The sequence below is a fragment of the Homo sapiens genome, chromosome 9 (assembly GCF_000001405.40).
Source record: "Homo sapiens chromosome 9, GRCh38.p14 Primary Assembly".
In the NCBI taxonomy this organism is placed as follows: domain Eukaryota; kingdom Metazoa; phylum Chordata; class Mammalia; order Primates; family Hominidae; genus Homo; species Homo sapiens.
Genome location: NC_000009.12, coordinates 69,291,503 through 69,307,390, shown reverse-complemented (window position 1 = coordinate 69,307,390; position 15,888 = coordinate 69,291,503). Strand labels below are relative to the sequence as shown.

At 41.4% G+C, this 15,888-nt stretch overlaps 2 long non-coding RNA genes across 2 annotated transcripts in view; one reads left to right on the top strand and one right to left on the bottom strand.

Moving 5' to 3' along the window:
- The first annotated feature begins 334 nt into the window (after positions 1–334).
- Positions 335–10,710, top strand: BANCR (BRAF-activated non-protein coding RNA). The gene is made up of 4 exons (NR_047671.2): positions 335–537; positions 1,101–1,243; positions 2,314–2,455; positions 10,524–10,710. It is a non-coding gene; the product is annotated as a BRAF-activated non-protein coding RNA (long non-coding RNA).
- The window catches only part of LOC124902176 (uncharacterized), a 22,662-nt gene continuing 17,103 nt past the window's right edge, over positions 10,330–15,888 (bottom strand). The window contains exon 2 of the long non-coding RNA XR_007061567.1: positions 10,330–10,674. This is a non-coding gene — a long non-coding RNA (uncharacterized LOC124902176). The remainder of the gene's footprint in view (positions 10,675–15,888) is intronic.

Here is a 15,888-nt window from a genome sequence, read left to right as displayed (position 1 = left end):
AGAAGCCAGCCTAAACCCACCAACACCAAGATGGTGATGAAAGTGACCTCTGGCCGTCCTCACTGCTCATTATACGCTAATTATAATGTATTAGCATGCTAAAAGACACTCCCACCAGTGCCATGACAGTTTACAAGTGCCATGGCAATGTCAGGAAGTTACCCTATATGGTCTAAAAGGGGGAGGAACCCTCAGTTCCAGGAATTGCCCACCCCTTTCCTGGAAAACTCGTGAATAATCCACCCTTTGTTTAACACATAATCAAGAAATAACCATAAGTATCAACAGTGGAACAGCCCATGCTGCTGCTCTGCCTATGGAGTAGCCATTCTTTATTCCCTTACTTTCTTAATAAACTCGCTTTCACTTTATGGATTCAACTGTAATTCTTTCTTGTGTGAGATCCAAGAACCTTCTTGTAGGGTCTGGATTGGGACCCTTTTCTGGTAACATCTTCCTGGTGACCATGAAGGGACAATACTGAAGAGACCCCTGACCCTAAGGAAATAGACTGCAGCACCAATGGGCCAACTTTGGGTAAGTGTTGGGGTACATTTTACCCGGGTAAAGATGGGATTGGGTTAGAGGCCCAACTTAGAGGAGTTAGAGTCTCAGTCCTAAGACAGTGTGGGTTAAAGGACCCTCTTAATAAAAGGTAAGGATGGTTGACCGGACTTGGGTTTGAGACGCAACTTAGGAAGGTTAGAGTTCTTCCTAAGATTTAGGGGGTTAGAGGCCCCTGTCAGTAAAGTCCCACTTGGCTAAAAATGGATTTGGCATTACAGGATGTTAACCATTATTCTCTTTGGATTAATTTGCCTTGCACTCTTTGCTGATGGCTGTGCGTAACAGGATTAGACATGTACAGGATCATGACACATAAGAGTCTTTTCCTCCCCAAAAGGGGAAACTTGAGAGCTGATGGAGCTGCTGGAAAAGATCCCTTCACAACTGACAAGCGGCCACCTAAACTTTTGATTCAGTGTCGCTGCAATGGGTCTTTTTCTGGCCTCCCTGACCTCTTTGCCTCCCCACCCTGCTACCGGCAATGCTTTTCTTCCTTTCTCTCCTTTCTCTTTCTTATCTTTTCTGTTATTCAGGGCGATCATCTTGCCCAGAAACATCATGTTGAAACTCTTGGTCAGAGGTTGGATGAAAGCTGACAGGGTCCATCCAGGAGCAAGTTTGAGCCTTGCCAGTTCCATTTTGGGTGCTGAGTGGAGTGGCGACTATAGCAAACCTGGTATACTTTGTGCTATAAATTTGTGTTTCTGTATCGGTCTGTCATAAAGAGGAGTACCTTAGGATAGAACATGGGCTTAGGACCTCAGTAACAAACTTTGCTGCAGGTCCCTGAAACAGAAAAAGCTGGATGAAGTTTCCCTCTCGTCTTGTTTCATGTCCTTGGGAGCTTGACCTTTTAACCACATGGTGGTATTTTCTCTTGGTCTCCATCATCCAGCAGACAAGAAACATGGAGTTCATGTCATAGTTAGCCCTAAAAATTATCTTGAGCAGTTAAAAGCCTTTGCAAGCTCTAGACTTCTTCTAGGAAGAGCAATGGAAACTGCCCAATGCTGTAGCTTAGTGACTAAGGCTTTGTCTTTTCACAATGACAGCCTGAGTCCAGGGTTCAATTCCTGGCTTAGGGGATGAGTTCTTTCTGGTTTGATATCTGTGTGACCTTTACCATTTGTTGATTCTCTTCCCATCCACAAACTGTCTGGAATTTTCCTTTTCTGAGCACCTAGGAGGTTACCTTTGGTAAAGTTCAAAACCCAGAAATATTGGCCATTTGGCTTGGATAAAGTCAGGTAATAAGAGATTTAAAAGAATTTTTTTTTAGAGTGCTATGCTTAAAAGTCAGTTTAATTAAAAGTGGATATTCAAGCTGTAACAGCTGGATCTCCTTGGGAAAAACAGAGGAAGCTCCATAGACCTCATTTTGGGGGAAATCTCTGTTTTTCTCATGGAACCCTAGGAATGGAAAGCAGATAGACCCCTCTCAAAGTCTAAGGCTCTGCTCTATTTTGCATTGCATTATCTGATGGTTTTGACTTTTGGGGATTTCAGAAATTGCTTCATATTATGAGAGAAATTTGGTGTGTAATAACTAGGTAGGAAATATACTTTTGGGGATAGCTTATTTTTGCAAACAAATCAGTCCTGTTATGATTTGTCTTTAGTAAAAATGGGAAAGTAGAGAGAGAAAAAAATTGTTTCAAGAACCTATTAGATTCTAGTCTCATCAGTTGTTTTTAGGTTTATTTCTGCAATTGAGACTAACTCTGCCTATTCCTGTGAACCAACCAGTGATCTCTGGCTGCTGCTCAGAAGAAACAAGAGGGAGGGATGAATAATGTAAAACTCTGGATCAATATTCTAATTCTGAGCCTCTATTGGAATCAGCTAGCAACCACATATCAGCTTGGTTTCAACAGTTTCCCAGTTCATGGTAAGTCTTCTTATTTAGTTTACTTAGGATAATTTTGCTCATTTTTCTTTATTGTTGTAGGATATATTGCCATTGAACTCTTTGCGTAGGAATGCAGGATGTTCTTACTCAATCATGTCATTTACAACAACATGGATTCAGCTGGGGGCCATTATCCTAGGTGAATTAGTGCAGAAACAGAAAACCAAATACCACATATTCTCACTTATAAGTGGGAGCCAAACATGGGGTACTCATGGGCATAAAGATGACAATAATAGAAACTGGGGATTACTAGACAGGGAAGGGAGGAAGCGGGGCAAGGGATGAAAAACTAACTACTGGGTACTATACTCAGTACCAGGGTGATAGGATCATTCATACCCTAAACCTCAGCTTAACACAATCTGACCAGGTTACAAAACTGCACATGTACCCCTGAATCTAAAATTTAAAAAAAAAGAAAAAATGCAGGCTGGGCATGGTGGCTTATGCCTGTAATCCCAGCACTTTGGGAGGCTAAGGCAGGAGGATCACCTGAGGTCAGGAGTTCAAGACCAGCCTGGCCAACATGGCAAAACCCCATTTCCACTAAAAATACAAAAATTATCTAGGCATAGTGGCAGGTTCCTGTAATTCCAGATACCCAGGAGGCTGAGGTGGGAGAATCACTTGAACCCAGAAGGCTGAGTTTGCAGTGAGCCAAGATTGCACCACTGCACTCCAGCCTGGGCAACAGAGCAAGACTCCATCTCAAAAAATAAAAATAAAAATAGAAAAAATGCTGGAAAAAAATAAGATAAAAAGACAAGCTATAGACTGTGAGAAGATTTGCAAATCACGTATCTGATGGAGGACTAATATCCAGAAAATATAAAGAACTTTCAAAAGTCAACAAGAAAATGTCAATCTAATTAGAAAAATGAGCAAAAGATATGAAGAGATATTTCACTGAAGAAGATATACAGATGGTCAATAAACACATGAAAAGATGTTCAACATTATTAGCCACTGGGGAAGTGCAAATGAAAATCACATTGCAATATTGCTACACAACTACAGAACAGCTAACATAAAAAACAGGGTCAACACCAAATGCTGATGAGGATGCAGTTAACTAGATCACACATACATTGCTGGTGGAAATGTAAAATGGTACAGCCACTATGGAAAATAGTTTAGTAGTTTCTGGAAAAACTAAACACACAACTACTGCACAACCCAGCAACTGCACTCTTGAGCACTTATTGCACTGAAATAAATACATATATTCACACAAAATCCTACACAGGAATGCTTGTAGCAGCATAATTTGTACCTCCAAACTGGAAACAATCCAGATTTCCTTCAGTGGATGAATGGTCAAACTGTGGTACGTCGATACCATGTGGTATACTACTCAGCAATAAAAAGAAAGGAATTATTGTTGATACACACAACTTCTCCAGGGAATTATGCTGAGTGGAAAAAAGCCAATCACAAAAGATTATATACTGTGTGATTCTATTCATGTAACATTCTTAAAATGACAAAATTATAGAAATGGGGAAAAGATGAGTGGTTGCCAGGGGTAAGAGTGGAGGGAGGATGTAGATACAGTTACAAAAAAGCAACAAGAGGCCAGGCGCAGTGGCTCAGGACTATAATCCCAGCACTTTGAGAGGCTAAGGCTGGTGGATCACTTGAGGTCAGGAGTTAGAGACCAGCCTGGGCAACAGAGTGAGACTCTGTCTCAAAAAAAAAAAAAAAAAACAACCCAAGAGGGACACTTGTGATGGAACTGTTTGGTATCTTGACTGTGATCGTGGTCACCTGAACCTACACATGTGACAACACTGCATACAATAAAACACACACACTCACACACATACACACACACACACACACACACACAGATGAGTGCATGAAAAACTGGTAAAATCTAAGATGGATCAATTGTACCAATATCCATTTTCTGGTTGTGATATTATTCTATAATTATGCAAGATGTTACCATTGGATGAAACTGGGTGAAAGCCATGTGGAATCCCATAATTGCATGTGAATCTCAATGAGCTCAAAACATAAAGGTTTTTTTAAAAGGCAAGTCTAATCACAGCCAATAAGCAGAGGATTCAGGTTAAGGAAACATTTGTGTTAACAAAAAGCAAAGGGTATGGATTTCTGAAGTCAGACTGGCCTCATTGGATGGAAGTAGCATGCGAAGAAGTGTCCAGAATGACCTTTGCCACCCAATCTGGAAGTCCCTAGGTTTAGCATGACATATTACTGACTTGAGATCAAGTCTACTAGGTAACTCTTTTTCCTACCCACAGGAAGGGGTGAATGAAGAAAATGCTCTGAAATGACAGGAGCTGCTGCCTCCCTCAAAGCCCAGGGGCTGAGGCTGCCCTCTCCTTCCCTGGGTGGGTAGTTCTGTTCTGTCTTATGTAGGTTTTGCAGCCTCCATCCCCTCATTCAGCTCCTCCAGTTCTGGGGACCTGCACAGCCCATTCACACACATTACCCTGCACTGGAAGGTGGGCCCATCTACAAGCTGGGCAGGCGGCCTCGTATAGTTCTCTCTACCTCGCCATCTTCCATCCTAGAGGGATCTAGGTATTTACTACGTTCTGAGAAGGAAAAGGTGACCCATCCCTCAGCTAGGCAAGCACACATACACAAAACCTCCAAGAATGTTCTATCACTTATTTAATTCAACTCAGGCAATATAATCCAACCCATATGGGTTGCAAGGTGTGAGGCTTCTCTCTATAAGCCTTGAGAAGTGCCATGCTCAAGGAATGGGATGCAGAGCAGTAGGAAGAAGGATGGACAAGACAACCACAATAGAAATCACTAGAAGGTTTTTGTAACAGGGGAGCCTGTGGGTTGAACAGCAAGTGTCAGAATTTCTTAGGAAATTAAATTCACATATCATATTTTAAAAAGTAAACTTTTTAAAATCAACATATAATAATTGTACATATTTATGGGGTACATAGTGATATTTTGATATATACAATGCATTGTGATCAGATTAGGCTAATTATCTTACCCTATTATTTCTTTGTATTGGGATTATTCAATCATTCAACATTCTCCTTCTAGCTATTTGCAACTATACATTATTGTTTACTACAGTGGTATAGAATGCTTAAAAAGTACACTTTTTTATCAAGCAAATTCACCAGAGTTGTAACAGTTTACATACAGGCATGCCTTTTTTATTGCACTTTGGAGATAATGTGTTTTTTACAAATTGCAGGTTTGTGGCAAGCTGGATTGAGCAAGTCTGTTGGCGCCATTTTTTCAACAGCATGTAGTCACTTTGTGTCTTCGTGTCACATTTTGCTAATTCTTACAATCTGTCTCGTGATTTTTTGGGGGGCACCATGGGGGGGCACCATGAACCACACCTATACAAGATGGCAAACTTAATCAATAAATGTTTATTTTCTAACTGCTTTACCAACTTGCCATTTCCCATCCTTCTCCCCCTCACCAGGCCTCCTTATTATCTGAGACAAAACAACACTGAAATTAGGCCAATTAGTGGCTCTCACCTATAATCCCAGCACTTTGAGAGGCTGAGGTGGGGGAATCACTTGAGCCCAGGAGTTCAAGACCAGCCTGGGCAACATAGTGAGACCCCCGTCTCTACAAAAAACAAAAAAAAAAAAAATTTTTTTTATGGAGTCTCGCTCTATCACCTAGGCTGGAGTATAGTGGTGTGATCTTGGCTCACTGCAACCTCCGCTTCCCAGGTTCAGGCAATTCCCCTGCCTCAGTCTCCCAGTCTCCTGGGATTACAGGCACGCACCACCACATCCAGCTATTTTTTTTTTTAATTTTATTTTTAGTAGAGACGGGATATCACCATGTTGGCCAGGCTGGTCTTGAACTCCTGACCTCAAGTGATCCGCCCACCTCAGCCTCTCAAAATGCTGGGGTTACAGGTGTGAGTCACGGCACCCAGCCAAAGTTTTTTTTTTAATTAGCCAGGCATGGTAGTGCACACCTGTAGTCCCAGCTTCACAGGAGGCTGGGGCAGGAGGATCACTTGAGCCCAGGAGTTCAAGGCTGCAGTGAGCTATGATAACACCACTGCACTCCAGCCTGAGGGACAGAGCCAGACCCTGTATAAAAAGTAAAATAAAATAAAAATAAAAATGAAAGAAAAGAAAAAGAAGAAGAGAAAAAGAAAATCGTCCAAGTAATATCCTATAATGGCCTAAAAAGTGTTTGAGTGAAAGATTCAGGAGAGTTGCATGTCTCTCACTCCAAATCAAAAGCTAAAAATGAAGCTTAGTGAGGAAGGCGTGATGAGCCAAAATCTAGGCCTCTTGGCCAAACAGCTAAGTTGTAAATACAAAGGAAAAGTTCTGAAGGAAATTAAAAGTGCTGCTCCAGTGAACATATGAATGATAAGAAAACAAAACGGTCTTATTGTTGATAAGGAGAAAGCTGGAGTGGTCTGGAGAGATGATCAAACCAGCCACAATATTCCCTTAAACCAAAGCCTAATCCAGAGCAACCCCTAACTCTCTTTAATTTTATGAAGCCTGAGAGAGGTAAGGAAATTGCAGAAGAAAAGTTTGAAGTTAGCAGAGTTTGGTTCCTGAGGTTTAAGGAAAGGAATTTCCTCCAGAACATAAAAGTGCAAGGTGAAGCAGCAAGTGCTGTAGAAGCTGCAGCAAAGTACCCAGAAGACCTAGTTAAGGTAATTGACGAAGGTGGCTACACTAAACTACAGAACTGTGTTATAGATGAAACAGTCTTCTCTTGGAAGAAGATGCCATTCACGATTTTCATAGCTAGAGAGAAATCAATGCCTGCCTTCAAAACTTCCAAGGACTGGCTGACTCTCTTGTTAGGGGCTAATGCAGCTGGAGACAAGCCAATGTTCTTTTACTATTTCAAAAATCCTGGGGCTCTGAAGAATTATGTGAAATCAACTCTGCCTGTGCTGTGTAAATAGAACAACAAAGCCTGGATGGCAGCACATCTGCTTACAGCATGGTTTACTAAATGTTTTCAGCCCACTGTTGAGACATACTGCTCAGAATAATAAAAAAGATTCTTTCAAAATATTTTTTACTGCTCATTGACAATGCATCTGGTCACTCAGGAGCTCTGATGGAGATATACAAGGAGGTTCATATTGTTTTAATGACTGTCAACACAACATCCATTCTGCACCCATGGATCAAGGAGTAATTTCAACTTTCAAGTCTTGTTATTTAAGAAAGACATTTTGTAAGAGTATAGCTGTCATAGACAGTGATTCCTCTGATGGATCTGGGCAAAGTAAATTGAAAACCTCTAGAAAGGATTCACCTTTCTAGATGTCATTGAGGACATTTGTGGAAGGAGGTCAAAATAGCAACATGAACAAGAGTTTGGAAGAAGTTGATTCCAACCCTCATGGATGGCTTTGAGGGATTTAAGACTTCAAAAGAGGAAGTCACTGCAGACATGGAGGAAACAGCAAGAGAACCAGAATTAAAAGCCTGAAAATGTGACTAAACTGCTAAAATCTCATGATAAAATTTGAACAGATCAGAAGTTGCTTCTTATGGTTGAGCAAAAAAAGTGGTTTCTTGGAATAGAATCTAATTCTGGTGAAGACGGTGTGAACATTGTTGAAATAACAACACAGGATTTGAAATATGACATAAACTTAGTTGATAAAACAATGACAGAGTTTGAGAGGATTGACTCCAATTTTGAAAGAAGTTCTACTGTGGGTAAAATGCTATCAAACAGCATCGCATGCCACAGGGAAATCCGTCATGAAAGGAAGAGTCAATTGATCTGGCAAACTTCATTGTTGTTTTATTTTTAAAAATTGCCACAGCCTCCCCAGCTTGTAGCAGCCACCACCCTGATCAGTCAGCAGCTATCAACACAAGGCAAGACCCTCCACCTGCAAAGATTACAACTCACTGAAGGCTCAGATGATCATTAGCATCTTAACAATAAAATATTTTTAAGATATGTACTTTTTTTTTTTTTAGAGATGGGGTCTTGCTCTGTTGCCCAGGCTGGAAGGCAGTGGCATGATCATAGCTCACTGCAGCCTTGAACTCCTGGGCTCAAGCGATCCTCCTGTCTCAGCCTCCTGAGTAGCTAGGACTACAGGTGCGCACCACCACACGCAGCTAACTTTTTGTATCTTTTGTAGACAGGGCAACTCACTCTCATCCAGGCTGGAGTACAGAACCACAATCATAGCTCACAGCAGCCTCAAACTCCTGGGCTCAAGTGATTCTCCCACTTTGGCCTCCCACAGTATTAGGATTACAGGTGTAAGCAACTGGGCCCAGCCTGGTTTTTCAGACATAATGTTACTGCACACTTAATAGACTACAGTATAGTGTAAACATAATTTTCATGTGTGCTGGGAAACCAAAAAATTCATGTGACTGGCTTTAGTGTGATATTTGCCTTGTTGTGGTGGTCTGGAACTGAACCCTCAATATCTTCAAGGGATGCCTGTATATTGAAGCTTGCGCCTACAGATGAATTTTTTAATGTGCCAGAATTTTCATTTGTTCAAACTATAAGTGTTTTTTCTTCAAACTTGGTGATTTTGTGAAGTCACCACAATAAAAATGTCTACATGATGGGCCCATGCAGACAGCTGAGGAAAGTCATGGTACAGACCCCTTTGCACAACCTGCTCCTGACCACCCAAAGCACAAAAGGTGGGTCCCATGTGAAAGTGCTGCTTTAAGGGGGCCAAGTGGAACCAACAATGCGATTCCCATGCCCCTTGTGAGGGGTGGGATGGGAGCCATCGCATTTGCTGGTAGCCAGTTATATGCTCTTTGATTCAACCCAGTATCTGTTGTAGAAGAGGCAATGGCCCCTTTAAGACCCTCATTTCAACCCTCGGAAGGCCCAAAGACAAATTAATACCTGTTGATCAGTCTTCTCCAGCCAAGCTTTTTAAGATCAGGGTCCTTTTAAGAAGATGTTCCGCTTTGATTGTGCCCGGCCCCTAGAGAATCTTTTGCTTCAGATCCTCCCGGTAATGGGTGGTGTCTGGTCATTCTCCCCCCACCGCTCAGAGCCCCATAGGCGATGTAGGATCAGGCCCTTCAAAACAGCAAGTGTGCAGGGCAGAACAAAATGCCCAAGTCTGGCCTCACATTGAACTTTTCTTAATGACTACTGATCTACAAAACGCTGATTAAACAAAATTAGAAAACAAAAAAAATGGTTTCTGTTCTGAATTTTGCATGAAAACGTTTTTGTTCACGTTAATGAAGGTGGCAGAAGAAAAAATTGCTATGGTTTTCCACTCCTGTAAACATATCTGCTCTGGTTCCAAATCTTATCACTTCCACGGCTGGGAAGATAACAAAGCAATTCAGGGCCTACTAGAGAAAGTAGACTTGACATTGGCACAAATCTCTTTGTCAAGAGACAGAGAGGCTGAGCCTTCTCTGAGCAGTGTCTTTGAATATCTTAGTTGACAGTATGATCAAAGCATTGCAAGACTGCCAGTTCCAAGACAACTATGCAGTTCAGGGGGTTTGCCTCACAGACTATGCAGGAGCCTGAGCCAATACAATGTGCAAGAAAGGAACTAGCTCACAAAAGCTGAATTTAAGGCTTGCAAGACCCAGGGACGCGATCTAGGTAAGGAGTTGGCACAGCGTTTCATAGACAAGTCCCTGAGGCAAAGTGAGGTACTTCTTGTCAAAGGTGTTGCTGTGGAAAATAATAGCCAGGGAGTATTGCACTGTTTGCAATCCATTTGATGACCTAAAACATTGTCTTTGAGCAATGTCTGGTTGTCTGGGAGCTATGTACCCTGACGGCACTTTCCTGGCCATTCCTGGAGATTCCTTAATTACCTTTACATCTTGGTTACTCCTTTGAGAGACACACTCAGAATGAACCTCTTGAAACCACCTATTGTTTTTATTGCAGGAGTGATTTTGAAGGTATTGTCCCTTTTATATCACACAAGGGCCTCCTGGGAGTGATAAGAACAGAAGTTCCTGGAAAGTTTCTGTTTCTCCTGATAGCTGGGATTTTTTTATTCTAATGATTGTGTGGCTCTTGTTATTGATGCCATTGTCTACTTTGGTTTCAGCTGCTGAGAAGTTCAGAGTCAAACCTGAATCTCACCTCTGCAAAGAGCACAGGACTCCATGGCAAACGTTGTATATACGCAAGTCATCCCTGGCACCACATTGATTTACTGCACCAGGCTTTCTTCATTGTGATGATGTTCTCTCTCTTTTCTAAAAAAAAAATAAAAATAAAATTTAAAAAATCCTGTTTTACTGTGCACATTTCTGCAAGCCACAAAAATACTCCTTGGGGGATAGATAACATATAAACAAGTGAACCAACAAATCAGACAGGTAATTGGCAGAAATAACTTGTTTAAAATACTTTTACCTGCTTTTTGGAGTTGGGGGAGGAGTAATCTGGCCTTGTCTGTCTTTAAAAGGCTGTGTTTGCAAACTAACATCTGCTATGTTGAGTGAAGAACGTGTTTATAAATGACCGTTGGTATTTTTAACTTCTGATGAAGGCGACTATTGGCCTTCGTCCAAGTGATGTTCCACGAAGAGCTTCTGCTGAGTTCTACAAGAGCACTCTGGGAGTGTTTCCCAAGACAAAGCTGACTTCTAGGTAGCTATGGGGAGTGCCTGGGCTGCGGTGAAAATCAGCAGGACGGACTGGAAGAACCAGAGGTCTGTGTGGGAAGTGTCAGCCCCTTCCTCCTGCCTCCTTCCCTTGGTCGGTGTACATGCTCCACTTTCTCCTGTGGGACTTAGTTTTCTCATCAGAAAAATGAGAAGAGCTGCTTACTGGTTAGGTCTGGTTAGGAAGAGAGAAAGACAGGACAAGTATGGAACTTTCCCTGGGGGAGCAACCCAAGCCTAGCTGACTCGCATGGAAGGGTAGCTCTCCCTACTTCTCAATCTTCCCTCCCTCACTCCCTCTCCCTTCCTTCCTTCCTTCCTTCCTCCCTCCCTCCCTTCCTTTTTCTTTCTTTCTCTTTTTTCTTTCTTTCTTTCTTCCTTCTTTCTTCTTTCTTTCTTTCTTCCTTCTTTCTTCTTTCTTTCTTTCTCTCTCTTTCTTTCTTTTTCTTTCTTTCTTTCTTCTTTTGAGATGGAGTCCCACTCTGTTGGCCAGCCTGGAGTGCAGTGGCATCATCTCAGCTCACTGCAACCTCTGCCTCCCAAGTGATTCTCCTGCCTCAACCTCCCAAGTAGCTGGTACTGCAGGCACATGCCACCACACTCAGCTATTTTTTTTATTTTTAGTAGAGACAGGATTTCACCATGTTGGCCAGGCTGGTCTCGATCTCCTGACCTCAGGTGGTCCACCCACCTCGCCTCCCAAAGTGCTGGGAGTACAGGTGTGAGCCAGTTGGCCTGGCCCTACTTTTCAATCTTGTCTGTGACTGGCTCTATGAGGCCATCAGCTCCTGTCCCTGAAACACAGAGACTTTGGGGAAAAAAGGTGGAGACAGGAGAGTAAACCAGACACCCTGTTTAAGAAAATGATGGCTATGTGGGAGGATAGTGTGAGGATTACCGTATTTTTCAGACATCAAGCAATGTCTGTTCCCTTCACTTACAGTCTCAGTTTTTTCTGTTATTTCTCTCTCCCTCATATCATTTCTAAAAACTAGACATCTTTTTAAAAATGTTTTGTTATTGTGGTAAAATATATGTAGTATGACATTTACCATTTTTAAGTATACAGTTCAGTGGCATTAAGTACATTCCCACTGTGTGCTACCATCACTAACATCCACCCCCAGAACTTTTTTCATCTTGCAAAACTGACACTGTTCCCATTGAACAATAACTCCCAGTTCCCCACTCTTCCCCTACCCTCTAGCAACCACCATTCTAGTTTCTATCTCTATGAATTTGACTACTTTTAGTAAGTACCTCGTGTAAGTGGAATCATACAGTATTTGTCCTTTTGGGACTAGCTTATTTCACTTAGCATAGTGTTTTCAAGGTTCATCTATGTTGTAGCATATAGCAGAATTTCCTTCATTTTTAGGGCAGAATACTATTTCATTGTATGTATATACCACACTTTGTTTATCCATTCATCTGTGGATGAACATCTGGGTTGTTTTCACCTTTTGGCTATTGTGAATAATGCTGCTATGAACCCAGTGGGTGTACAACTATCTGTTTGAATTCCTGTTTTCAATTATTTGGGATAGATACCTAGAAATGAAATTGCAGGACCATGAATTTTTTTTTTTTTTTTTTTTGAGATGGAGTCTCACTCTGTCACCCAGGCTGGAGTGCAATGGCACGATCTCAGCTCACTGCAATCTCCACCTCCCGGGTTCAAGCAATTCTCCTGCCTCAGCCTCCCAAGCAGCTGGGATTACAGGCACGTGCCACCACACCTGGCTAATTTTTTATATTTTTGGTAGAGATGGGTTTTCACAATGTTGGCCAGGCTGGTCTCGAACTCCTTACCTCAAGTGATCCCCAACCTCAGCCTCCCAAAGTGCTGGGATTACAGGCGTGAGCCACCACGCCTGGCCCCATGAACATTTTTAAAAGTGTTTTTATGAACACTTTTATGAACTGAACATTTTTTACAGCCACTAGAGTAGAGAGGACAGTATAAGAAGTCTCATGTACCCATAACCCAGCTTCAACCATTACCAACTGATGGCCAAACTTATTGCCTCCATACTCTACTCCCTCCACCACTGGAGCTCTTTAAAGCAAACTGAAAACATCATATCATTTCACTCATAAATATTTTAGAGTCTACCTCTAGCAGAAATGATTTAGATGCTTCTTAAAGAATAACATATGAGTGCCTAATTATTAAACACCAATATGGGTAAATACTCATTGAACAATCAATCATCATTCTTTGAAACTATGTTTAAAGTGGCAGCCTTTTGTTTTTTGTGTTGTTGTTGTTGTTGTTGTTGTTGTTACAGAGTTTCACTCTTGCTGCCCAGACTGGAGTGCAATGGCGTGATCTCGGCTCACCGCAACCTCTGCCTCCCAGGTTCCAGGGATTCTCCCACCTCAACCTCCTGAGTAGCTGGGATAACAGGCATGCGCCACCACGCCCTGCTAATTTGGCATTTTTTTAGTAGAGATGGGGTTTCTCCATGTTGGTCGGGTTGGTATCAAACTCCCGACCTCAGGTGATTCAACTGCCTTGGCCTCCCAAAGTGCTGGGATTACAGGCGTGAGCCATGGTACCTGGCCTGGCAGCCTTTTAAATAAATGTTTTATTATGAAAATTTTCAGACATTCCACAGACTAGAGAGAATTGAACAATGAATCCCAATGTGCCATCACCCAGCTTCAAATTCTATCCATAGCAAAATGATATTCTGTTTAAAAATGTAAGTGCTAGGTTATTCAAATGACATTTTATTCCTCTGTAAGAGAGGACAGGGACTGGAATGGAAGTGACAACAGGGAGAACCTTTTAATTCTGGAAAGGTGTATTACTCATCACTAAAAGCACATATTTTTAAATGACTGAATCCATAAATATCAGCCTGAGTTCTCAGCCACAAATGTGAGTGGTGGTTTGTCTGAGCTCACCTGTCTTTCCTGTCTGGCCTAAGTCTGGGTGACTTTCAGCTTTCCCAAGCTAGGTAGTTATTTTCAGAAAGAACAAGTTGACATTAAACTAAAGAGAATGACTCAGAAGTTATCTCTACTTTTACCATAAGCACAAAAAATGTACAGTCACCAATTGATGTTGTACAGATAGACGTCCAACTTTTTATTTAATGAGGAATTTGTATAATTAATTTTACAGACAGGCATTTTCCAGTTACTTTGTCAACGATTTCATCCCTTGGCTTTTGTTGCATAGCAAATCACTCCCAAAATTTAGTGGCTTAAAAAAACAATCATCATGATGAAAGAGTTTTCCCTGTTAGATATCAAAACCTATTTATATGTCATTGATTTTAAGCCATTTTATTATCTTTGAAATGAGGCTGCCTCTAGCAATCTACGACATTGTATAATTTTCTGTTCACCAGCAATCGTCATGACATTTGTTGCTGCCTGTACAAAACTGAACTTCATCATGGCTGTTCACATTATCATAACTTCAATTCAGTTGTGTGCGTTATTATATGTGTGTGTTGAGTTAAGCAATCTTCAAAAAGATTACACTACAATTCATCATGGAAACGAGAAGTTATTGTTTATCCAGAAAGGTGCTGAAACAGATCAATTGGGTAGAAAGTTGATATTTGTGAAACAGATGTTCATTGTTGGAGAAATGACTTTGATTAAATAGATACTTCCCTTGCAGACTTGTGCTTTATGAGACCCAAGAAAGAATAAGATGACATTGCGTTACATTTTGTAACTGAGATGTGTACAGAAGAATTGCCCAACACATACTAAAAAACTTCTCAAGATGGGTGTCAGAAGCTTGACAAAAAATTCTGTAATCAATAGTTCAGCACTGAGAAATGCTACATCACAAATGCTCCTGATGGCTGCAAGTAGCAGAAAACCTAAAATAACATGGGCTCAACAAGCTATAAGTTCATTTTTCAGCGACATAAAAGAATTCCAGAGGTAGCCTGTACAGGATTGGCAGATAGTGTCACAAAGTTATTGGGGACCTAGGTTCATTTTATGTTGCTGCTCTGCTATCCTACACACAACTCCACCTCGTGGTGGAACGTAGCTGCTTCAGATCCAGACATCATGTCCACATTCCAGCTAGCTGATTGATTAAATAATGAAGAGAGAAAAAGTGGTAGATACCAGCTGACTTTTTAGAGAACTTCCCAGAAGTTGTCATACAATATGTACTCTAATTCATTGATCAGAACTCCTAGTTACAAGGATTGCTAATAAATGTCTTCTTTATTCATGTAGCCATGTGTATTAGTCTGTTCTCATGCTGCTAATAAGGACTTACCTGAGACTGGATAATTTATAAAGAAACAAGGTTTAATGAATTCACAGTTCCACATGGCTGGGGAGGCCTTACAATCATGGCTGAAGGCAAATGAGGCGCAAAGTCACATCTTTTTTTTTTTTTTATACTTTGAGTTCTAGGGTACATGTGCATAACATGCAGGTTTGTTACGTATGTATACATGAGCCATGTTGGTGTGCTGCACCCATTAACTCGTCATTTACATTAGGTATATCTCCTAATGCTATCCCTCCCCCCTCCCCCCACCCCCCGACAGGCCCCAGTGTGTGATGTTCCCCTTCCTATGTCCATGTGTTCTCGTTGTTCAATTCCCACCTATGAGTGAGAACATGCGGTGTTTGGTTTTCTGTCCTTGCGATAGTTTGCTGAGAATGATGGTTTCCAGCTTCATCCATGTTCCTACAAAGGACATGAACTCAACCTTTTTTATGGCTGCATAGTATTCCATGGTGTATATGTGCCACATTTTCTTAATCCAGTCTATCATTGATGGGCATTTGGGTTGGTTCCAAGTCTTTGCT